The sequence below is a fragment of the Homo sapiens genome, chromosome 15, assembly GCF_000001405.40.
Source record: "Homo sapiens chromosome 15, GRCh38.p14 Primary Assembly".
NCBI lineage: Eukaryota > Metazoa > Chordata > Mammalia > Primates > Hominidae > Homo > Homo sapiens.
This window is the reverse complement of record NC_000015.10, coordinates 85,588,984-85,615,845: the sequence shown is the minus strand read 5'-3', so window position 1 is coordinate 85,615,845 and position 26,862 is coordinate 85,588,984. Positions and strand designations below refer to the sequence as shown.

The 26,862-nt window shown below is 38.4% G+C and overlaps 1 protein-coding gene across 2 annotated transcripts in view, besides 2 other annotated features; it reads right to left on the bottom strand.

The window, feature by feature from the left end:
• The window catches only part of AKAP13 (A-kinase anchoring protein 13), a 368,756-nt gene that overhangs the window by 133,513 nt on the left and 208,381 nt on the right, over window positions 1–26,862 (bottom strand). The window lies entirely within an intron of this gene.
• Window positions 3,257–3,426: an enhancer, noted in NCBI's record as "experimental_42230 CRE fragment used in MPRA reporter constructs". NCBI's record gives its function as "activates a minimal promoter by MPRAs in K562 erythroleukemia cells, with activity observed for both the introgressed and non-introgressed 15:86155736 variant alleles {active_cell/tissue: K562}" and the evidence as "EXISTENCE:reporter gene assay evidence [ECO:0000049][PMID:34662402]".
• Window positions 3,706–3,875: an enhancer, noted in NCBI's record as "experimental_42228 CRE fragment used in MPRA reporter constructs". NCBI's record gives its function as "activates a minimal promoter by MPRAs in K562 erythroleukemia cells, with activity observed for both the introgressed and non-introgressed 15:86155287 variant alleles {active_cell/tissue: K562}" and the evidence as "EXISTENCE:reporter gene assay evidence [ECO:0000049][PMID:34662402]".

The following is a 26,862-nucleotide window of genomic DNA, read 5'->3' as shown; positions in this document are numbered from 1 at the left end:
CTTGCTCTAATATTATATACTGCCAGTCTGAGACTAGGAAGTTATCACATGCCATATAGTTCATGGGATACGGTAGTTTCAGAGGAGAAAGAAAAAGGAATTGAGACATTCTCTTAAAACTTGCAGAAAACATTATTCCTGCATAATGACACTTTCTACCTTTGTTCTTCACATGAAATGGGAAGGAAGGAAAAGTTTACCACAGTCAACAATTTTCATTAATCTAAACTTAAATATAGTGATCCATCCAGAGTTACACATATGTTGGTGGTAAAATGTATTAGAATACAGATAAAACATTTAGCCTCCACTTGAGCAACTCCTGTCTGCTTAGATAATAGACTGCTTCAAATAAGACAAATGAATATTTGAGAGGTGAAAGAAGAAAATACTTTACAATGGCTGCAAAGGATCGTCTCCAATTAGGCTTTCCTTGTACTATGGCTCCAGGAGAAGCAGGTCTACTGTTCCCTCCTAGCATTCACTAACATACAGATTTGAAGATTACAAGACAGTAAAAGGGTAAAGGAGAAGGAGAGACCTAGAAGGCTATAACCACCATTTCTTTTCAAATTAGTAGCAAGCAGTAGCCAACAGCTCCTTTCCTTAACCCTTTACTATCTTTGCAAGAAGAAAACTTAAGACAATTTAACTGGCAGCAGCTAACTGACAATAATAGCAACAATTAAAATAACAACAAACTAATATGGAACAATATAAGAAAAAAGTATCTTCGTAAACTTGTGCTCTTTACAGGAACAAGGTCTCATGGATCATACACACAAATGTTAAATTCTACTAAAATTACCAACAGCTTTGTGAAATAAAAGGAGGGAGGAAGGAAGAAAGGGAGATGGCAGAATCAAAATTTCAGTTGGGAAAAAGTGACAGGATAGTTTAATCTTGAGGACAAGTCTTCTGGAGCAAGATTTATTAACCACAACATTTACTGAATACCTCCTGTTTGCCAGGTGCTTCCACAGGTACAATTTCATTGATTCCTCATAAAAACCTGTAAGGTGAAATTTTACTGTCTATTTTACAGATGAGGAAAAGTAGCACTTAGAATTTAAGTCAGTTATATAACATCACACAGCTAATAAAACAGATTTGCTTTAAACTCAGTTGTGTAAATCAGTCTTTCCACTACATCTAATTTTGCCACTTGATAAATCCCCCAAGAAATGAAACTATAACAGAGAAAAGTTAGTATTTGAGGAAAGAAAACTTGGGATTCATTACTCATAATCAATATCCCTACATTTGATTTTACATAAATGCTAAAGGACAGAAAAAGATGTTTTTTAAAAAATAAAAATGCCAAGTGATTCTTAATTTTACATTAAACGGACTCAACTTCTCTGCCAACATTTCAATATTTGACATTCCACTTTTTAAAAGTTTCTCTCTATAGTAATATCTTACAAAAATAGAATGAACAAACCAAACATACAGACTAAAAGATCTCTGGATATTGCTACCCAAGTCTTCCTGAAAATGAACAGATACACTGATCTGGCTTTTCTCTTTGGAGCAAACATTCATTATTTCTTTTGGCAGCATTTCAGATATTTAAAGATGGCCGTCGTGCTTCACCACCCTCTTCAGGCTTCTCTTTCGAATCATGATTCCCACAACGGCTCCTCAGACAACAGAATACCTGAGTGCTCTCTAGTTAGTGTACTTCTTGTGATGTGGATGCCCCAAACAAAATCCTCTGACATGGTGCACACTGGGATAACTAAGATCAAATTGGTTTTCTTGACACACATATTACACCGCTAGAAGAATAAGTTTATTGTGAAATAAACTTACTTCCCATATATTTTCTTTCAGTGTGACTTACAGTATCAGGTCTCCTTTAAACTATAATCTTGTGATTTTGTTTTAAAACCTACTTTATAGCTTTCTGTATAGATATATTCTCTCAAATAAATTCTCATTTGTTTTAAAGTTATCATTTTAGCCTTAAGAGAGTATAGTGAACCTAAATTCCATCACTGAAGTAACAGCTGTTTCTCCAAACTCTGTATCATTCATAAATCTGAAGAGCAAGGCTAATGATGGAACCCAGAATTAAATCACTAAAAGCCTCCCCTGGTAGGACATCTGTCCATCAATCAGCACTCCTAATATATATATATATATATATATTTTTTTTTTTTTAGACGGAGTCTGGCTCTGTTGCCCAGGCTGGAGTGCAGTGGTGAGATCTCGGCTCACTGCAAGCTCCGCCTCCGGGGTTCATGCCATTCTCCTGCCTCAGCCTCCTGAGTAGCTGGGACTACAGGCGCCCGCCACCACGCCCAGCTAATTTTCTACATTTTTAGTAGAGACGGGGTTTCACCGTGTTAGCCAGGATGGTCTCGATCTCCTGACCTCGTGATCCACCCGCCTTGGACTCCCAAAGTGCTGGGATTACAGGCGTGAGCCACCGCACCCGGCCCCAGCACTCCTAAGATTAAGTAAAATGCTGGTCTATCAGCTACAAAGCCAACTGAATTCTGAGTCCCATACCTCCATCTTCTATACAATACAGAATAATTAATAAAACTTCTTCCTGAAATTAATACATACTAAATGTATGGCATTCTCCTATTCAACCTATCAAATAATGCTATCCAAAAGGGAAATGAGACACTACTCATGCAGTGTACTGTTTGATAACCATTTATGTTGTCTATTTAAAACCAGATCCTAAAGACTGTTGTATTTGATAAAACTATAAGCCATATTTACTCATAGTTTTGAATCTTCTAACAACATTTCTTTTTAGCATGACCACAAGAACATAAGACAGTCCAGCACTGACAAAAACAAAAACAAAAGCTACTTCATAATAGTACAATGACACAAGAACTTCTTCTCACATGTAGAAATCTTACCAATTTCATGAAGCCCGTAAGTGCAAATTTTTGAGTAAAATTACTATAAATAATAGCATCCCTTTTAAGGCATTAAGGTAAGAAGAATATGTTCTCTCCACATTTACTTTTTCTTTCTTTTTTTCTTTTTTTTTTGTGAGACAGGGTCTCACTCTGTTGCCCAGACTGGAGTGCAGTGGTACAATCTTGGCTCACCACAACCTTCGCCTCCCAGGCTCAAGTGATTCTCCTGCCTCAGCCTCCTGAGTATCTGGGGATTATAGGCACGTGTCACTACTACCCAGCTAATTCTTGTATTTTTAGTAGAGACGGTGTTTCACCATGTTGACCTGGCTGGTCTTGAACTCCTGACCTCAAATGATCCACCCGCCTCGGCCTCCCAAACTGCTGGGATTTACAGGTGTGAGCCACCACGCTTGATCTACTTAAACATGATAACTATACCATCAAATAGTCAATTCAAATGAATTCACAACCTTATGCTATTTTTCCCACCCAAATAGTTGGTATATATACAAGTGCAAAATGCGTATGTGATTCAGACAAAACCACCAGTAAAAAAAATCTATTTCAGATGGTAATCTAGATCTTGAAAAGTATTTATTATGAGGTAATTTTTAAACAGGTTTACTAAAGTATAATTTACACATAATAAACTGCACCTATTCAAAGCATAATAAATGTTTCATGTATTGTCAAATTTTCCTAACATGTTTTTAAGATACATTAGAACTTTTAAAACCTGAGGGCCAAGAACACTAAACATGGCAAATAGAGTAACTAACAATTTCAACAACAACCAGGAAATTTCACATGGAAAATCTGTGACATTATTGGGACTGTATAGTACAACTCCATGTCACTGCCCTAAATCTTCAATAAGCTTTTCAGTAAAGTTTAATCATTAGGCAACTATTTATTAAACATGTACGCTTGGCATCGAGGATACGGCAGTGAACAAAATGGATATTAAATAATTACAATCATGTTTGAGACTGGCCCTTACAGTATATTACTAATCTGAGACTTGATGGAAGACTTAATAGGAATTAACCAGGCAAAGGGTGTATATGTGTGGATGGTGCTGTAGGGAGGCAGGCAAGGAAAGCTAGAGAGACTGACCTGTGTCTACGTTCAGGCAGAAGACTGCATAAGGCCCAGAGGGAAGAAAGAGCACAGAGACAAAGGATGAGGCCAGCCCCAGCTGAACATGTTACTTGTGTTCACAAGTGTATTGTCGCTACAATAGGAAAAGCAATCGAAGAGTTGTTAGCAAGGGAAAGGCAGGATCGCATCTGTATTTCAAAAATATATTTTTCTGGAATACGCTCAAAAGACAGAAGGGAGCAAGCTTAGAGACAGATGAGTCAGAAAGCTGTTAGAGAAGTCAGGTGAGAAATGATGGCAGTGTGAACTCAGCTGCTGAAAGCAGAGCTCAAGAAAAGAAACCGAGAGTCCAAAAATATTTAACATTAACAGGATATTGGGCATTGGGGTGGGAGCAGAAGTAAAAGAAGTGTGACGATGGACTAGGTTTCTGTCCTGAACAACTAGGTAAAGGGCGGAATGCAGCAGAAGTAGGTGGCAGGGGAGAGATCAGATGATGAATTCACTTTTAGACACAGTGAATCTGAGACATGGTATCTCAGAGATATCTGAGCAGAGCCATGGTAGGCAGTTGAAAGTGTGTGACTGGAACTCAGGGGAATGGCTGAGGTTGGGCATTCAGATTTGGGAATTAACACACAGAAGTGGCATCAAGGAAACTAAATGGAGAAAGTATTTCAAAGAAAGGATAGTAAACAGTGCGAAATGCTGTAAAAACGTCATGCAAATACAAGATCCGGATTTTGCTAGGCAAATATTTCATAGATCTTGGTGAGGGTAGTTCTGGCGTAGTTGTAGACTGATGAAAACTGGATTTAAATATTCTACTATTTCACAGGGGAAAACTTAAGGTTTTTTGGGGGAGGGGAGTGGGGGGGTGGAGTTTCGCTCTTGTTGCCCAGGCTGGAGCGCAGTGGCGCGATGTCGACTCACTGCAACCTCTGCCTCCCGGGTTCTAGTGATTCTCCTGCCTCAGCCTCCCAAGTAGCTGGGATTACAAGCGCCTGCCACCACGCCCGGCTAATTTTTTTATTTTTAGTAGAGACGGGGGAGTTTCACCATGTTAGCCAGGCTGGTCTTGATCTCCTGACCTCAGGTGATCCACCCACCTCGGCCTCCCGAAGTGCTGGGATTACAGGCCTGAGCCACCACGCCCGGCCCTTAAGCTCTATCTGTATACTAACTCTTCAGAGTTTTCTCTTAAGACATTTTTTTCCTTTAGAGAAAATGCCTTAAGTGAATCCTTATATAATGGTTGCTATAAGATTACTAACCTGACAATAAATAATTTAGATTGTTAAGAACTTTAAGAAGAAAACAAAACACTGACAGAGAAAAAGGGACCATTACCAAGAAGTGAGTTCCATGCATCACGACTATCCTTTTGTATACTTTTGATTGTGTCAAAGAGATCCTGCCATAGAAACCAAAATAGAACACTTGAATACACGTACTGCTGTCTTGGTCAGGAATATGAACAAAGGTTTCATATAGCTGAAGGAGAGAGGCAGGGTGGACAAGTGTTTTGGAAAGGAAATGGAAAAAGAAGGGAAGAGGCAACAAGTGAGAAACTCCTTTTCCATATGATCATCTATGGAAATAAGAACAAACTTCATTCCATAAAAAACAAAGGCAATGAGGTAAAAGGAAACAATGCTGACATTTACTGACCATAATTCTGTAATGGGATCTCGTTGTCATCAGCATGCCACGGTCAATTAGTAGCAAACTAATGAATATTAGCCAAATTTCTTTACCCATTCAGCAAATATTTAAGTGTCTGTTTTAGGTGAGTTGCCCTGTAAGGTGTTATGAGAGATATACAAATACATAAAACATTTTTGAGTCCTCAAAGAAAATACAGCAGGAGCAACTGTATGAAACACAAACACAAGACAGCTTGGGTAGGTAGTACAGATGAAAAGCAGAATTTCAGCAAAAGGAAGAGGATCTCTGGCTGAAGTGATAAGAAAGAAAAGATGCTGTTTTAAAATAAACGGAAGGAAACAGAGAAAATGGAAGAGAGGAGGTGGGTGTTGCATATGAAGAGTGTGAGTGAAGGTAAAGATGTTAATGAATGCCAGGTATGACAGAGGAATAGCACAATGTCTGGTTACATGCATCAGATTCATGCAAGGGACTGCTATGACATCAGGTAGGAAAAGCATTAACAGCATAGGTTATACAAACAGATGATGCAAGAAGAAAACCACCGTATGATCTAGGAATCCCACTACTGGGTATATATCCAAAGGACAGGAAATCAGTATTCACTCTCATGTTTAGTATACTGTTTGCAATAGCCAAGGTACAGAACCAAGTTAAGTGTCCATCGACAGATGAATGGATAAAGAAAATGTGGTACATATACACAACAGAATATTATTCAGCTGTAAAAAATAATGAAATCCTGTTATTTATGGCAAGATGGATGAGCCTAGAGGACACTACGTTAAATGAAATAAACCAAGCACAGAAAGACAACCACCATAAGATCTCACTGATAATGTGGAATCTAAATAAGTTGATTTCACAGAAATAAAGAGTACAACAGTGGTTACTAGAGGCTGGGACAAGGATGGGGAGAAGAGAATGGGGAGAGGTTGGTCAATGGGTAAAGAGTCATAAGAGGAACAAATGTAGTATTCCATCACACCGAAGGGTGACTATAGTTAGCAATAATATATTGTATATTTCAAACTAGCGGGAAGAGAGGATTTTGAATGTTTTCATCATTAAGAAATAATTAACGTTTGAGGTGACAGATATGCTAATTATCCTAATTTGATCATTACACATTGTATACATGTACCAAAATATCACACTGTACTCCATAAATACGTACAACTATGTGTCAATTAAAAATGAAAAAAGTGTATGTGTTATGCTAAAGAGTTTAAGACTCTATTCAGGGGCAATAGGGAGCCAGTGAAGATGTTTGAACAAAGAAGTGATATGACTTAGGCTGTCATTCAGAAAGGCAGTACAAAAGTCTTTAGCTTCATCCAGTCTAATCTCCCTTGTCTGGATTTCAGACTACTCCATGACCCTTAACCAATCTCATTTTCTATTGTTCTTCAAGATAAAGCCTAATTGTGTATCAAGGTTCCACAATCAGAATATGGTTCTTCCTACTTCAAGGCCCCCGGCTCTCAGAACAATCATGGTTTCTGGAATTCCCTCTCTCGCCTATCCACCTTAGTCAAAGTCCATCCTTTAATTCTACTTTCCCAATTCAGCTCTCTCTGCCTACTCTAACCCTCCTTAAAACGCTCTCCTTTGAACCACTATGGGGCTTAGACTCTGCCTTGCTGACTCTATGGTGTCCTGCCCTGTGTTGTTCATTGCTACTGCATGTTGGTCTGATTCTAAGCAAATAATAATTGCCTTAAAGGCAACAGCCATTTCTTAAATTTCTCCAGAGTGCCAAAAATGGTATGATACATCCAAGGTGAGATGAATAACTAATAATGTCTTCGTTTACCACCACAATCACAACCCTAAGACTTCCAATGGCTGACCAAATTTAGTTATTAAACAAGGAGAGAAAATAATTTTGTCTGAAGTAGTTTCTGTATTAGAAGAATACTCCTGGCCAGACACAAAAACTCCTGCTCAAAATAACCACAACCCAAGGAAAATATGAATCCCACATAAAATAAAAATGTATTACTTTAGGAAATTACTTGACTTCTTATTTTTCTCTTCAAAAAAAGAATAGCTCTAGCACAGTCACACAGTCAGACAAGCCAAAAAATGACTCAGCTTCCCATGGAAGACTTCCCTCATCCCTCCAGGCAAATATACACCATTGTACAGTCATGCGCTCCAAAAAATGCAGAGGTACAACTTGCTCTTTTTATCAATTGTCCAAAAAAACAAAGCAAAGGGGAAAAGAAAGAAGTTCTTCATGAAAAAGCCTATTTGTCAACACTACTGCCAGGTTAATTTTGGCATTCACTCATATTCAAAGCAATAAACTTGCTTCTGTTCATTCAGAGACTATTATCTGGAGCTTGTATTTTGAGAATTTTACTTAACTAGAACACATATTTTAATGTTCTGGAAATTTTTAAGAAAGTACAATGTAACTGTTTACCTTAGATTACACTGTGAACATTTGCTTTGGAAGGGTTATCACAAAAATATGTTTAAAGAGTGGAGAATGCTCCTTTACTTAAATACATACTAGCAGAGATGTCTCATACAGGAAACATCAAAGGAAATGAAGGGACAAATGAGTAGCTTAGTGACTCTATTAAGCTAGCATCGTGGTTAAAAGCATGAACTCTGGAGCTAGGCTGCCTTACGCAAGTTTTAAAACCTTTCTGTTCCTCAGTTTCTCACCTACAAAATGGGGATAAAAATAAAGGCAAATGGTTAAAAAAAAAGGTGTGAGCAATAAATGAATTAATGTATGTTACATTTTTGTCTTATTTTTTAAAAGGAGGTATTTAAGTCAGCCTACAAGGGTGCATATAAAATAAAACCAAGTAACTATGGTAAATTCTGACTCAAGTCAGAATGGAAAGAACAAAACACTTTTCCTTTCAATCAGACTACCATATCCCCTCTGGATCTATTTTGTACCATGACAAAGGAAAGCAGAGGGAAAAGTGAAGTCTTCTGATTATCTGATAACTGGAGAAGGTAGGGAGCTACCTCAAAAACTAAGAATAAAGGAACTACTAAGTATCTGAAGCTGTTTTACAAAGAAGTACTTCTTTAAAAGCCAAGATAGAACTAGGAACACAGATGGAAGAGTTAAGTCTCAAAAAAAAAAAAAGAAAAAAAGAAAAAAGCCTCTTCATCTGAGGCAAAGGGAAAGAAGAAACGACAGATATTTATAGATTTTTCCTGGCCAATCCCCAAGTGCCTAATTTGGATTGAACTTAAAATGTCCCCGAAACAATCCCCACCCAGAAGGCTGAAATACTAGTGTGACCCATTGGGGTAAAGAGCATCTAGCTCTGAGAGGTGATCCTGGGAAAGAAGCCTTGCACCATGACCACTTCTCTGGCCTTTTCTCTCACCTTTCCTTGCAAGATTCTTCTACTTCAGTCACACAAGTCAACTTACTGTTCTCAGATTATTTTACACCTGGCTGCCTCCATGTCCTTGACCCTGCCATGATGTTCTTCCCAGTCTAGGCAAAACCGGAAAAGTCTTTAAGATCTCTTCAACTGTAGTCACCCCCATGATGCCTCCACCAAACACCTCAGTCAAAAAACTGGCCTATCTTGCCTCTGACTCCATTAGAACTGTGTTAGCACTCATCCATCAATTATCACAGTTAAGTAGGGGCCTGTTGTACAAGTCTCGTGGAACAAGACATCTCCTGTTTCTTTGGATTTCTTAGCATTCAACAAATGGCTTCTGTGTAAATAAATATGCATATCTGAAAAGGATCTTTCAGGTAAAGGAACCTATGCTCAAGGGTAAATCAAACCTAGGCTGGGCACTGTGGCTCATGCCTGTAATCCCAGCACTTTGGGAGGCTGAGGTGGGCGGACCACCTGAGGTCAGGTGTTCAAGACTAGCCTGGCCAACATGGTGAAACCCCTTCTCTACTAAAAATACAAAAATCAGCTGGGCGTGGTGGTGGGTACTTGTAATCCCAACAACTCAGGAGGCTGAGGCAGGAGAATTGTTTGAACCCTAGAGGCGGAGGTTGCAGTGAGCCAAGATCATGCCACTGCACTCCAGCCTGGGTGACAGAGCAAGACTACATCTCAACAAAAAAAAAAAAAAAAAAAAAAAAAAGTAGATCAAACCAGTGCAGAAAATCTAGATTCAGAAGCTCCTTTATTTAAAAATGTAAAATAAACCACAAATATCTGACACACAGATATGCACTAAAGGGCATCCACTCTGCCCACTACAAACAAATGGTACTAGTAGTTAGACCTTATAAATACATGAGATCTATCAGAAATTTATCATTAAATGGAGGATATTCTGTCTACCCTTAATGCTGTTTTAAAAATTTTAATCCACTTTATTGAGGCATGACAGAAATACAAAAAGTTATGTATATTTAAAGTACACAACTTGATAAGCTTGAAGACTGAATGCTTTTTTAAAATATAAATGGAAGTTTGGGTGGGTTCCATAAAATTATCCATCCTTGAGATATGTCTAAATACATATTGATTTTTATATTATTTGTTCACAATTATTTATAAGCTTATATCCCAGTACCTTTTTAAAACAATTTTATTTTAAGTTCCGGGCTACATGTGCATGACTCGGGAGGTTTGTTACATAGGTAAACATGTGCCATGTTTGTTTGCTGCACCTATCAATCCATCAACCCAGGTATTAAGCCCAGCAATGCATCAGCTATTTATCCTGATGCTTTCCCACCTCCCACCTCACCCCACAACAGGCCCCAGTGTGTGTTGTTTCCCTCCCTGCATCCACATGTTCTCATTGTTCAGCTCCCCCTTATAAGTGAGAACATGCAGTGTTTGGTTTTCTGTTCCTGTGTTAGTTTGCTGAGGATAATGGCTTCCAGCTCCATCCATGTCCCTGCAAAAGACCCTTTCTAAGTGTGCAAATATCTCCCTCTGGAATTTATATGAATGTTCTACAATTGTTCCCAGTGAAACTTTTAAATATCCTCTCCACAAAATGGTAAATTATTCGAGACGAAGTTTCATGAAAGCATTCTGATAATTTCTCAAAAAATAACGGGATGTATGTGTGTGTTTAATGGCTCAGAAGCCCTGCAAAGCGCTGACTGTCGGGAATAGTTTATCTAGGAAATTAGGTAATCCATGGGGATTAAGAGCATAAATTATTACCAGGGGCACCCATGAGCTCTTAGTGCAGCACTGAGCAGGAAACATGTAAGTTGTCCCTCCAACTAGCCATCTATAGATTATTAACATCTCTCTTCTGACTGCCCTATGAAGATGTTACAGTAAACATCAGTGGTATTCAAGAGCTTAGCATATGGTTTATTGTTAAGAAGAACTTCCCAAATCTTCCTAATCTTTCTTTCATATAAGTAGGGTTTTCCTGGGTCTGAATTCTAATGGCTCTATGCATCTAACTCTCATTCTGATGAACCTAAAGAAGCTTTGAAGGCTGGGTGCAGCAGTTCATGCCTGTAATCCCAGCATTTTGGGAGGCCGAGGTGGGTGGATCACCTGAGGTCAGGAGTTCAAGAACAGCCTGACCAACATGGTGAAACCTCATCTCTACTAAAAATACAAAAATTAGCTGGGAGTGGTGGCAGGTGCCTGTAATCCTAGCTACTTGGGAGGCTGAGGCAGGAGAATTGCTTGAACCCGGGAGGCAGAGGTTGCAATGAGCCGAGATTGCAGCATTGCACTCCAGCCTGAGCAACAGAGCGAGGCTCCAACTTAAAAAAAAAAAAAAAGCAGCAGCAGCAGCAGCTTTTGATTGGTTCCATTTCATTACTGAGTCAATTATCCAAATTCTATACAGACAGAAAGATGAATCACCTCTCTTGGTTCAGTCCTAAATACTCATTTTAATGGGTTATCAATGAGGACCTTCCTATTCTTCACCTAATTTTTAGCTGCAACTCCTGCCACAGTGATTAAATCAGCTTTTCAACCTCAACTTACAAAACTTAAATCTTCAAATGTATTTATTATGTAAATAGGAAATAGTTATTTTTTTTAAAGTGACCTATTTAAGGTTGTCAGTGCCCTGAAGGAGAGAAAATAATAAATGAAGTAAATACTGTATCCCCTTATGTAGAGCTCGCTGAAGCAATACTTAACAAAAAACTGTCAACTAACTAGATATCAACCTTGCTGAAGTTCTTCCTGTGTCCCTTTTTCTTTTGAGACACTCAACACACATCAGACATTATAAATGTCTGCCATGTGTGAGAAATGTGACAAGTCACTGTGCATGAAAACATGGCTGAAGCAGAGTCACTGGCAGGAGGCGGCAGAGCTCCCAGTGCAGTACTTAGTGAGGCACATGAGATACACTGCAATTCCACTGGGTCTGTTCCAGTGTGGGGAAGGAGAAGAGTATAACAGGAGGCCTGAGAGAGCGAAGAGGACACCACAGGTAACACTGCACATCAGGGAAGGGCTTTAAAGAAGGAAAGGGTACCCATGTTGACTCCAGAGATGCATTTCAGGCACAGAATACATTGAGTGAATACAACAATAAATTTCAAATAATAAGGGGATTCTGGCGAGGCTGGCAGCTGGACTGTGGGGTGAAAAAGTATAGCTGATGGGACTGTACAAGTAATCTTCAGAGACAGACTGTAAAGTCCATGTATGCCACATCACAAAGTTTAAAAACCAAGGAGCTATTTAATTTACTTTGAGCAAGAATCTGCAACATGGGCTAGACAAAGTGGTTCTCAAAGTGCGGTCTGCAAAACCTTGAGGAGACCTTTTCAGGGTGTCTGTGTGATCAAAACTATTTTCATAGTAATGGTAAGATGTTACTTGCCTTTTTACTGTGTTGACATCTGCACTGATGGTGCCTTAGCACAAACCAAGGCATTGGTGCCAGAATGAATCAGGAGTCATTATAGTCTTCACTGCCATACTCTGAGTACACACCTTTTTAAAATTCTGTGTGACAAAATGGGAAGCAAACACATAATACTTCTGTGTATGTGATGTGATGCCTGTCTTGAGAAAAATCACTTGTACAGTTATTTTATGTTGTGAGCTAAACTGCTTTTTTCAGGAAACAACACTTTACTTAAAAGAATGACTGACAAATAATGGTTATTCAGAACTTGGGGTTATTTTCTTAGAACCTGCTTCTCAAGGGAAACAACTGACAGTATTTATAGTTGATAAAATTCAGACTTCAAATGAAAATGAAAATTCTGGAAAGCCTGTAGTCGTCACTATGAGTTTGCCAGTTAACAAATACTTAAAGACATTTCTGATGAGACTAGTAGTAACATTAACAAATTTGAGTTTCTGATATTGTAGAATGAAACATTCAACATTTGGAAGAGTTGTATTACTCAGTGAATCAATATTTTCCAAATGACCAATGTAGGATTTTACAAAATTATGCATGAGTAAAAGATTCATTGAAAGTATGATAGGCTGGGTGCAGTGGCTCACGCCTGTAATCCCAGCACTTTGGGAAGCTGAGGCGGGCGGATCACTAGGTCAGGAGTTCAAGACCAGGCTGGCCAACATGGTGAAATCCTGTCTCTACTAAAAATACAAAAATTATCCAGGTGTGGTGGTGCACATCTGTAATCCCAGTTACTGGGGAGGCTGAGGCAGGAGGAGAATCACTTGAATCCAGAAGGTGGGGGTGGCAGTGAGCCAAGACTGCACCACTGCACTCCAGCCTGGGTGACAGAGCAAGACTCCGTTTCAAAAAAATATATATATATGAGATAGACCAGACCCAGCACAATGGCTCACATCAGTAATCACAGCACTCTGGGAGGCTGAGGCGGGAGGATCACCTGAGATCAGGAGTTCAAGACCAGCCTGGCCAACATGGAGAAACCCCATCTCTATTAAAAATACAAAAATTAGCTGGGCATGGTGACGCACGCCTGTAATCTCAGCTACTTGGGAGGCTGAGGCACAAGAATGCCTTGAACCTGGGTGGTAGAGGTTGCAGTGGGCCGAGATTGTGCCACCGCACTCCAGCCTGGATGACAGAGTGAGACAGAGTACAAAAAGTTCAATGATACGATTTCAGATTGCATACCGAAAGTAGCTTTTAAGAACCTACTGTTTGTCAATTCTGATCTAGTATCAAAGAATATCACAATTATTTGAGAAAACTATTAAGGTAGTTCTCCCTTTTCTAAGCATATACCTGTATTTGCTTAATTTTCTTTATATACTTCAACTAAAACAATATATTGCAATAGGCTTAATGCATGAAAGATGTAAGAATCCAAATATTTTATATTAAGTCAGAAATTAAAACAATACCACTCCTCTAAATTTTTTTGTAGAAAAGTAATTTTTTGTAGAAAAAATATCTTTATAAAAATATAATTTTAATAATGATTAGTTTATTGTAGTAAATGAATTAATAAACATTTTTTAAATTTCTCAGTTTTAACTTCTAATACAGTAAACATTTCTAGATATAACCTATATAAACAAAAGCTCTTTGGGGCTCTTAATTTTTAAAAATGTGAAGAGATCTTAAGACCAAAGAGTTTGAGAACTGATGGGTTATAAGGAATACAAGAATAGCTGGAAGAAAAACACACACACACACACACACACACACACACACACACACACAAAGAATTCAGGTGAGAGAAGATGAGAGTATGAGTTCCCTAAATTGGCAGTTTAATGTGATAAGTTAAATTTACTGTCTCAGAGAAAAAAAGCTTTTCTTATTTTGGGGGAAAAGGATAGAATCTTGGGTGAGAGCTTTCTAACTTAACAGACTATATGAAAGCTAATGCCTTTAGTTATATGTGAGATTAGGTCTAAACAATTTCATAACATTATGAATGATGCTGGTGAATTAAGAGTAATTACAGCAAGAACAATAAACAGAGATGGTTTTCTGAAGGGCAAATAAAATTATTTAGGAAAAGACTTTTGATGACCTATGTGCTAATGAAGTTAACTGAAAGGTACTTCCTAAGGGACTATATGGCTGAATAAGTCTCATTGCATTTTTGAAAGACCAGGGCAAATGGTAAACTGACATGAGTAACTCTTTTTAATGCAAGTTCCTGAATTATTACTCGGATTAGTGCCCATTAATGTACATTTTAATACATAATAGTAATAGATACCCTCATAACAATAATTCTGAGCCATCAAGGATAAATTTTGCTCAGCATTTAAGAAGTCAGCCAAGTACATGGATATTTTAGAAATATAGTGTAGCAAAGGTGTCAAAGTAGAAGATCTGGCACGTAAGGCTTTACCTCCAGCTATCTGACTGCCATTCCAAAAAGATTAACTTGTCACAGGTTCTACAGTGGAAATGTTCCAATAATTGTAAGAGGGTCTTCCCACTCCTGGGGAAAGTGATATTAGGAAGAGCCACAGACACAATGCTAAGGAATGGAAGGTAAAAACGTGGCAGAAGAATTTTATCTCCCTGACAAAGACAAGTTGTTTCTTCAGCTCAGTTATTCATTGTGGTCATCAGGACATAAATGCTTTTTGGGGCTGGGTAGGGGAATATATTCCTTTAAAAGGCTATCTTGTTAAATTTAAAATTAATGTCATGCATTTGTTAAATCTTTTAATTACTATTTGTTTATTAAAAAGAATTTCCTAAAGGAACATTTGTGTTGTGAAAATGGATGTCAATATTTAAAGTCCTGTCTACTACATTAAAAATGGCCCAGCAGTGCCTCTACTTAGCAGCAGCTGTTGAAATTTCCTCCAAGTAATTGTGTATATCTAAAAGTAAAAGCCTGCTTTTAAAAATATTTAACAATTCGTACTTTTAATTTATTTAGATTTGTGCTATTATCTTCCACCATTAGACTAAACTAGTTGGTTATGTGATAAAACGCTTTTCAGAGGAAGAATAGTAAGCTAGCCTTTTTTTTTTTTTTTTTTTAAATCTAAGCTATTCCCATCTTCCCCATTCTATGCTGGGGTGATACACCACAAGAAGTTACAGGAACAACTGCTAAAAGAATTAAACATCTTGGGCCTTTACACAGCTGTTGCCATATCATGGCTTTGGTGCATGGTCGGTCACAGATGCTGTCAAGAGGCTTATGTTTAGTTATCCTTTTGCTTCCCCAACCCCCACATTAAAGGTCTCCTTCACCTTCTCTGTCCTTTTTGCTACCTCCCTTCTTCCTGCTCCAAGCTCCCACAAACCAGCCTTAATAAAAGAGGAAGGATCAAGGCAACACTCCACATCAGTCATATTTCAGGGCAGCTTGATGTTTGTTTGCTAATAGATGGTTGGTATTATCTAACCAATAGGGTGACTCCAAGTTTTAAAAAACAGCAAGACTAATTCAGAAATAATATTATTTCTTAATTTTTTTAAAAATAGAGATGGGGTCTCACTTTGTTGCCTAGGCTGGTCTTGAATGCCTAGGCTCAAGCAATCCTCCCACCTTGGCCTCCCAAAGTGCTAGGATTACAGGCATGAACCACCTCACCCAGCCCAGAGATAATATTCATAAAAGGTATGCATTATTTTGTTTTTATTTAACCCCTCTTCCTTCCCAAAGAGTTATGCCAAGAAACAGACAAATGGCAGTATAAGTTCCCATTAGGAATAAAACAAAGAAAACTTGGCATTGTTAGGCACTGATGAGCTTCCCACCTCCCCCCTTCTGGGACAGCTAGAAGCACAGTAGCTCCCCAAGATGAGACCAAAACCAGTGAGTAGGTAGAGATACACGGTAACTCTGACACCCAGGAGCAAATGTCAATCACCTGAATTCACTACTGCCAGAATCACTTAAGACCCTCCAGTGGCTACAAAGAAACCTGTGGGGCTATGACGGGTGGGATGTGCCAATGACAAATTCTATTCTTTTTCAAATCCTACAGAACACAGTCTTTCGATTTAAAAGCAAACCTAAGAGCACTTGTCCACATTATATTATATGCTAATCTTCAAACAATATTTCTTCTCACAGCTTGCAGGTACTCCTTTTAATGCGTTCAGCTGCAACAGCCACTGCAGGAAAGTTCCATGTCAGGAAAGCCAGGATTTAAATCCTTTTCCTCACTCAAGGAGGAAAGAGCAGGCTCAGACAAGGGAAAAACAATCCACTGAGCTTGATGTGAAGCAGATACAGCACCAGATTTCAGCACTAATGAAGGAAGAGGGCCAGAGCTCTATTTCCCTCCTTTCCATCATCCCATTAGGGAAACCTAATGACTCCTGGGAAGGAACATAGCCTATTGTGTTGACTACGAGGGTAATAGGGACAGGAACTGTTTCATAGCAAAACAATCATGATACACGCATCACTTTCTGGAACTGGAATGAAAAGTCTGACCCCCTATTTTAAGGCAAGCAATGCTGTCAACAGGGAAAATCCTTTGAGTGAAACATTTCAGCAGAATTCCACTTAATGCCTGATGTTACAATGCTACTAGAAGGGAACAGTAGAAGGGACAGTGGTGTAGATAGGCCTAAACAATGGAAAATTCCTTCTCTGAGTTCCCACGACCCAGGTGTCAACTCCTGGTTCATTTCTTTGTTTCTCCCAATAGAGCTTCTTGAGGGATGAAATCTGTCTTATTTTACCCACCATGGCATCCCTGGTTTCTATTACAACGTTCAGCATACAAAATAGTACATATTTGCAGATTAAAGGCTCAATTTTGCTTTGGAAATGCACAAGAGTAACATCTCCTGGAAGAAGGGACTATGTTCCAACAGCATAATTTACCGTTGGAATCTTTGCTACAAATGTTTAAAGTAAGGGATTCGTGCATGGACATATGTTTTTTCCATGCCTCTCCCGCTGACAAGTCAGTCTGTGGCTTCCCACAGTTTCTGGCTTTCACGGGGTGGAATGAGAGAAAAAATTCCTGAGCCTCTTAGAGAAAATGTCCTGTTGCCCACAAAGTAGAGACTGCACACTACACAGGCTCTGATGCTTCTCATCATGCATCCTCTCCAGAATGGACCAGGCCTAGGCCCAATTGCAAGAGGCCTGTGGGTGGCTGAGGTGGTACCCCTTGGTTCTTCTCTAGCCCAGCATGGCAGGGGGAGTCCAAACCAACCCATTGTCTTCAGGCCCCTTGATTCAAGGGAAAAAATAAACACAACAAATTTTTGGTAGCAAAACAAGGAGGAAGAATGACAAAGAAAGAAATTAATGATGTCAAAAATAAAACTGAACATACGACATTTTCCTTGAGTTATTATTTTCATAGAAACCAAAAGATAAAGAATATTGGAAAGGGGATCTTACAATTCTGCTTTTCCCAGAGCGACCAGGATCTTACCCTAAGGAAGAACATGACAAGCAGAAGGCTCTTCCATTTTTCACATCATTCATCTGCTGTCAGAAAACGCTGGAATTACACAAACCTGGATTTCACAGTGATTCATGCAGGCTTACTGGGTTGGTAGGTAACAATTTTCACTAAATTTCAAGGAAGGTAACACACAACAAGCACACCCAAAAATAAAGATGCCATGCTCAGGAAAGGAGAAGGCAACAGGAAGTGGGAATCCTCAGTCTACCCAGATCACCCTATACCGTGATCTGCCCATGGCCCAGCCACAAGCCTCCAAGTATCTGTATCAGAAGGCAATTTGCTAAAAGGAAGTACTGCAGAGTCACCAGTGCAGCAGATGCACACAGCTCATCAACCACAACAAAGGGATCAAGCGTACACATTCAGCTGTATCCTTCCCATAATTTTTCTTAATGTATGGGGAGTAAGGATTAAAGGATTTCATAAAGTAGAGGAAAGTCACTGACCAGTAAAGATGGTCCTATTTAAGAATTTCCTATTTAAGAATCTCCAGCAGAAACACTGGAGAGGTTTCCAGTGTGCCTCTGGCTTACCATGTGACACTGAGGAGCTTACTTCAGTGACAGGTGATGTCTAAGACAGAGGTGGGCAAGGAGAGGCTCCTGGGCATCACAAATGATGGCAGGCCCTTTGAGCATGCTAGCTCTTTGGGGACTCCAGTTCCTTTCTTGCAAATTAAAGGGCACAAGCCTCATGCTCACTAAAATTCCTCCCTAAACTAATATTCTATAATGAGAACAATTATTTTTGGAAGATTTTGGATTCCCATAGTTATAGAATCTGGAGTATAAATAGAAAAGACCTCTAAATGGTTCCATTACAAATTTTTTGATCACATGCTGTTTTTACATAAATCAAAAGGGAACAGGACATCTCCAGTTCAAGTATGTTTTTCTACTAATCTATCTTTCTTCAAGGGGATTCCAAGCAATAAAATAATTCATAATTTTTAACTACTTAGCCTCTCCACCATGTTTTTTTTCTGCCTCAGAGAAGGGGTTCAGCAAAAACTTCCCAGATGTGCCACTCCCAAGGTACTTCATACTCTACACAGTAAAAGAAACATACACATACACACGTATCTCACATAAATGAAAGCGCCAAGCCAAATTTATCCTTTCAAATACGTATTTAACCATAAAGGCCAACTGTGAAGCTATACAATTTACCCCAATTATTCCTATTATAATTAGTTCAAACTGTTAGAGAAATCTTTTGCAACCATCTTCAGTACAAACACTGAAATCACATGTGAAAAGTCTGACTCGTTTTTATACCTCCATAACCCCAAATTCCAACCCCAGAGTGACTAGGTTTTTTATTTTATTTTGAGACAGGGTCTCATTCTGTTGCCCAGACTAGGGTGCAGTGGCATAATCATGGGTCACCGCAGCCTCCACCTCCCCAGGCTCAGATGATCCTCCCACCTCAGCCTCCCAAGGAGCATGCCACCACGCCTGGCTAATTTTTGTAGTTTTGGTAGAGACAGGGTTTTGCCCAGGCTGGTTGCGAACTCCTAGGCTCAAGCAATACACCTGCTTCGATCTCCCAAAGTGCCAGGATTATAGTTGTGAGTCACTACACCCAGCAACTATGCTTTCAAAACTCTTAAATATATATATGAATACTAATGACTCAGTCAGGAGCAAATGCCAACTACAGAAAAAGAAGATCAATACAATAAACATTTTGGCTTACTCTGACTTCTGAGTTAGGTTTAAACTTAGATATTTTAAATGTGCTCATAAGAGTATTCTCTGCCCTGAACTTTATGAAAGGCATTTTCACCATCAACTAACTTTCTTTGAAGACTTCATATGTACACTTAAGACACTGTCCCAGTTGCTCAGGTCCACAGCAGTGATAGGGTTTTGGGTGTCCTCAGAATGGAAGCAAAATGTCTACATCACTGTATGAAATGAAAGAGGCAGGAAGGGAGAACACACACTTTCAATGGCTGAATGGAAATATTTAAACAGAAATACTACTTGTTTCAATTTCCACATGGTTCATATACTACTGAATACTTCCATTTTTCATATTCTGTGGTAAATTTTATGTTTTTCAGTCCTAATGAAATTTCTTTTTTTAACCTGGATTACTGCCAGATCAGTTACCTTGCAAACTGATGTGTCTCTGGCAATCCTTAGGCAATTCTATGATCTTCGAAGGGCTGAGCGTATTGTGAAAGTAAAAAAATAACTACAAGGCTGGAAAGCATATCAATGGCTCCCTGAAGCTATCCCTGTTCTTGCCAATAGACTATTGATACCACCTGTGGTACAACATGGGTCTCACCAAGGAAACACCATTACGTTTCAGACAGGCACTTTTCAAGAAGTATTCCTCTCTCTGATCTCCTATAGCACATTAATGGTATCTGATAACATGTCTCATATACTGCATTCATGTATTGTGATTATATCTGTATATGTTTGCTTTTTTAAATTTAACTAGATTCTAGGTATGCTGAGGGCAAAAAGGATACCTAACTTTCAAAAATTATCTGGTATTTGGCAGGGTGCAGTGGCTCATGCCTGTATTCCCAGCACTTTGGGAGGCTGAGGTGGGAGGGTCACTGAGTCCAGGAGTTTGAGACCAGCCTGGGCAACATTGTGGAGACCGTGTCTCTACAAAAATTTAAAAATTAGCTAGGTGTGGTGGCTCGCACCTGTGGTCTCAGCTATTCTGGAGGCTGAGGTGGGAGTATCACTTGAGCCCAGGAAGTTGAGGCTGCAGTGAGCTATGATCACGCCACTGCACTCCAACCTGGGCAACAAAGTGAGACCCTATCTCTACAAAACAAAAACAAAAACAAAAAAAACCCTCCAAATTTGATGCAATAATTTGTCCAGGGAAAAATAATCATTTAATGTTTACTAAATGAATAAATGAATGAAATTAAAGCCACAGGCTAATATCACAAAATTGAGCAGCCTAGGAGACTAGAAACATCTGAAATTGGTGACCCTGAAACTTTTTCTGGATAAAGTAGACAACTCCATATATAGTGGACAACTCCGTAAATAGTGTACACATTTACTCTTCTGGTGGTCAACTAGCGACATATCACTAGACTCTTGTTAAAATCCACAATCAAAACCTAATATGGAATATCTAAAACTGCCTAAATTGTAGGTACCCAGGTAGATCCCTGAGGTGGACCTAGGCCTTTCTCAAAGATCAAATGACATCTCTCTTTTAATTTTCTACTATGGAAACTTTCTCTTTTACAGGCAAAAACAAGCAGCTCTAAGTCATATTTATATCAGTAAGCAACACAGAACTTAGAACTACAAGCAATACATAGTTTTTTCTAAGAGATCACCTATTGGTAGCCCTTCCAAATTTACTGGTAGAAATAATGGCTACGCCCAAGCCTATATTTCTGATACATAATGCATATATCTTCATTCCCACAGTGTAAAAATAATATAATATTCTTTAAAAACTTCCTTAGAAAGGAGAATTTAGCGTCCATTTCACTGAAAGTTATCTTTTCACAAGCACCTATATGTTTACCTGTATTTTAACACTTGAGAATATGTCTGATTTACTGGTTTAATAATTGCCTTTCCTACTAGAATATGAGCCTTTGAATGCAGAGACTCATCTACTTTCATTTCAGCATATCTGAGGCCTAGCACAGAGTTCAATGAACATTTGTTGAACTGAGTACTGAATAAATTAGTACACCCTTGCAGTAAACATAAAGTGACATGGAAAGTTAAATGAGTACCACTGTGGCCTGATATAACTGATAGCTTCTTCCAAGACCATTTAAAAATCATTATCTAAAATCACTCATTCATACTGTCTTAAGATGGGCCTAATAATTCTGAGTTACTTTAAAATGAGATTAGAATTATATCTATTGCATTTAAAATGCCTATTATAGGCTAGAATTTCCTAACTCTAGTTAATACAAACAACCTTTGTAACAGGCATCAATATCCCAAATTTACAAATGAGGAAACAGCCTCTAAATAAATGAATCAAAATTATTCAGCTGGTAGTTGGCAAAACTAGGTTAAAACCCTAATTCACTGGGCTCCATAATCTTTCCCTTATACTTAGCTATTATCATTGGCTGTCAATATAATACGAATGAACAAAAGAGAAATGAGTGTAAGTAGTAGACAGAAAGAGTGGTAAGACTCAGATACAGTTATTTTCACTCAAGAGGGGGTGGCATGAGACACACATCCCCTCTAAAATGCACATATGACCTATGATTCAGCAGTTCTATGAAAGAAAAAAGCAGATTCTAATATAATTGATTTTAATATCCCAGAACAAAACACCTTGGAAAACATTTAAGACAAAAGTGATTAGTTAAGGATTGGGTTAAAGAATGTGTGATTTAAAAAAAAAAAAAAAAATTCCCACATGGTGGCTCACACCTGTAATCCTGCACCTTGGGAGGCCAAGGCAGGAGGATCACTTGTGCCCAGGAGTTCAAGATCTGCAACATAGCAAGACCCTGTCTCAAATTTAAAAAAGAAAAAAAAAATCCCTCATGATTGTCCTTTTGGTCCAAATGTAAGATATCCTCAGTTTTGTTTTTGGTTTTCTGTTTTTTTGTTTTTTTGTTTTTGTTTTGAGATAGAGTCTCATTCTGCCTTCCAGGCTGGAGGGCAGTGGTGCAATCTTGGCTCACTGCAACCTCCACCTCCCAGGTTCAAGCAATTCTCATGCCTCAGCCTCCCAAGTAGCTGGGATTACAGGGGCGCACCACCACGCCCTGCTAATTTTTTTGCATTTTTAGTAGAGATGGGGTTTTGCCATGTTGGCCAGGCTGGTCTCGAACTCCTGGCCTCATGTGATCCACCTGCCTCAGCCTCCCGAAGTGCTGGGATTACAGTATTTTTTAAATTATTCTAATCATTTCATAATCACACACTGGTCAAAAATTAAGAGCTGGAAGAAACTAGAGATTAACCATTACACAAAGGAGAAAACACAGATCAGAGAAATTAAATAACTTGCTTAAGGTCACTTAAAAATGTACAACTAGATCATTAAATTATACCTTTACATACATTATCTATGGGTAGTTTTACACTAAGTTTATAGTTTTGCCACTTGTGACTTTATGGTCTGGGGTTCTCTGAGGTACTTCTTTTCCACAATTGTATTAAAAATTTGTATTAGGAGCCGCTGATAATTTCCTGGAAACTCTCCATTTCAGAGGAGATACAGAGAGTCTCCAAAAAATCTACATGAAAAAAACTGAGAATTAAATTTTGTGTGGTTGATGCTAGCTCTAGCTTTGGACCTATATGGGATAATTTAAGGAGAGCCTGCCTCTCTTACATGCCAAAAATGTATGCAGATAAGACTTTCTGGCAACTCAGAAAGTGGGCAATTTGCCTTTCCCTAGGTGACACACACACCACAAAACTATGTGAATATGATGGCAGAAACATTTTTAAAGGACCTTTTTAAAAACTGACAACTATTAAATAACAGGGTGGGACGTACAAGCCATTTTGAATATCAGCATTATAAGTTGTTGGATTAGTCACCAAATAGCCTAGAGGCTGTCATATTTTCCCACGGCAGCTGAGCATGAAGTCTGTGAACAGCCACACAATACAAAAGCTTTCAACCAAATTCCTAGACTAGGGATGGAAATACAAGTTCGCCCCCTTTAGACAACAGAAAGAAAACAGAGTGTTCCATTAAATATAATAAAAGGACATAGTTCAGGAAGATATTAACAGGCAATATTCTAAGACCAACAATGCCCTTACTACAGTCCTGAAGAAAAAAACATGAATACTGTTGTAAAAATAACTAAGAATGGAAATTCAGTTAATTTGATGTTTGGCTGTATAATTGCCAAAAAAAAAAAAAAAAAAAAAGATCATGGTTCTGATTTTAAATGCTTTCTTGATTGAGGAAGGTATGTTAAATAAAGAGTAGATTTTCCCAGTAGCCTAATACTCAACACATGGGATTTTACAGTTGTCCTTGAACATAGTTGTTCTTGAGTGTTTGACTGTTAGGACCATAGGAGCCCTGACAATATATACTGGTTTGTAGAATTAACTGTTCCATACGGCTAATAAGCTTATGCAAAGAGCATTCAGAAAAGGAACTATTATTGAGATACTTCAATGAACAGATGCCCCAGGGAGAGAAGGTCCTTCCTAATGAACTTGGCCATATCTTGAAGAGAAAAGATCCCTACAACATACGATATTGGTTTGCAGTACTGGGACATACTATGAAGGCGAATGGTGTCAGACGGCCCTCTTTTCTGAACTTTTTCTGAACTTAAGTATTCAATGTCATCTCCTGCTTGCCTCCAGCATCTGGCTCAATATCATATCATTCTTTAGGAAATAAAAGGCAGGTCTAAAAAATCTTCCTAATTTCTGCACCAAAAGCAAGCATTTTGGAGAAACATCATCTTAGTGGTATTTAGTTGCAGCTAAACAGATTATAGTAAGAACATGAGACTTAAAGTATATCAGCTTACATCTTAAAATGGCTAAAGGAGTTTCTCCAACTATTACCAAAAGCATGAAAGTATAATGCAATGGCTTTAGAATTTTAGCATGCATTAAGTATCATTCAGGGATGCTTGTTTAAAACGCAAAAACCCATCCTAAACCAAGTGGATGGGACTTCCCAAGTGTACCCTCAGATGATTCTTCAGGAAATAGTATAATGGGAAAAATTATTCACATAGAAATTGGGTTCTAGTCCAGCTGACAGTTAACTAGCTGTGAAACAAGGTAAGTCATTTAACTATCCTGAATCCATTTCTTCTCTTATAAAGCAAAGGTGCTGGACTTCAGAAAATCTTTAAGGTTCTTTCAAATTGTAACGGTCTCAGAAGCAAAACAAGTTCCATGTCTTTCAATTTCAAATTAATGTAAGAAACTATTCCTGAAGCTTTTATAACATGTTCAAGAAGCAGTAACTGAGTCTGAACCACCATATTCCACTAGTTACTAAAATAAGTGAATAGCATATTGTAATCTGAAGTTACTAAACTAATAATAATACTAAGCTGTACTTATTTTGTGCCAGGCTCTGATCTAAGTACTTGATATATATTAACTCACTAAGGAAAAAAAGATGACAACGAAAGGTAATCTGAATACCTTCAAACCAGTAAAGCATACAGGTGGAGGTAATGATGAATATTAAATTGCAATGGGCATTAAAACTTTGGCTAAAATAAAATGATAAAATGATTAATGGGAATAAACCACAATATGTGTAAAGTAATAACTTTGCCTCAAAAATTGTGAACATTTTCACCCCAATAAAGAAATATCAGTAAAGACTATCAAGAAATCTGCAGCATTTAACACATACCTGTGTTTTCTCTGAGAATATAAGTAAACGAATGCAGATACTGTCTAATTCCTTCATGAACTATGATTTTCAGCACTGGACCTTTAAAGTAAGGATTTATTTACAATACATGTGTCAAACAGGTTAAGGAATGAAAAATTACTCCTCAGTTTGTATGACAGATAGCAGACTAAAGGACTAAAGAAAACAAGAACTCAGCTGTAGCTTTTTTCTTTAAATCCTTGGTAGTGCCACTCGACAGAGGTTCTTATGCTCTGACCATTACACGTTTAGAGAATGTTACAAAACTTCCATAAGAATTTAAATGGATTATTTACATTTATTAGAAAACTGCCATAAATTTACCATACTACTGGTTTTGAAGCCGGTAGCAAAGCATAAGATACAGGAATTTGTTCTATTTTACATTTGGAGAGGATGATTCAATGATTCAATGAAGCAATGACTGGCCTATTCCCAAGGCACACACATAGACGGGGTATGTGGCAGAAAGATCAGGTTAAATATTACACAAATGCCACTCCTCCCTCAAATATAATCATAGACTCTAACCCTTTTCAGCATGAAAACAGACTCTAGAAGGTTAAAGCTAGAGAATGATTAGAGACAAGGAAACTGAGCCCTAGAGAGGCTGTCAAAAAGCTATTCAGGAAAGACAGAACTTGATCCCACTCCCAACCTGTAGTTTAAAAACCAGAGGTTTCACCACAAAACAATTTAAGAAATCTGCTTGCTTCTTTTTTCTTTTCTTCCACTGGTGCACAAGTATTTATTAGGCAGGGGCTCACATGCTATTGCCAGTGGGATATTAACTCTTTTTTACAGCCCATGAAAAAAAATTAAGAGTAGGCTTTTTTTTTTTTTTTTTCAAGACAGAGTGTTACTCTGTCGCCCAGGCTGGAGTGCAGTGGTGCGATCTCGGCTCACTGCAACCTCCCGGGTCAAGCAATTTCTGGCTAACTCTTGTATTTTTTTTTTTTTTTTTAGTGGAGACAAGGTTTCCCCATGTTAGCCAGGCTGGTCACGAACTCCTGACCTCAAGTGATCCGCCTGCCTCAGCCTCCCAAAGTGGCAGAATTACAGGCATGAGCCGCTGTGCCCGGCTGAGATTTTACATTTTTTTAATGGCTGGAAACATAATTCAAAACAATAATATTTCACGACACATGACCATCACATGAAATTCAAATTTCAGTGTCCATAATAAAGTTGTATTGAAGCACAGTGACACTCCTTTGTTTACATACTAGCTACAGACACTTTCATACTCACAGCAAAGCTTACTAGTTTTAAGAGACCATATGTCCCACAAAGCATTTACAAAATCTGTCCTTTACAAAATGTTTGCCGACCTCTGCTCTCTTTCCCCATCCAGTGAAAACCTATATGAATATAGTATGTGAAGAGTTAAATGGGAAAAATTAAAGTGTGTGTCTGTTTTATCCTTTCAACTCACAGCAAATAAGGCAAGTTTGTCAGAGCACCACGGAGAAGAGTTAAGTAGTCAGATTTCACATCATTATAAGAATGCTGTGAACACAAAAACTTCCTGAATTTAGGCCTGCAAATCCTCAAGAACTGAAAATCCCACTGAC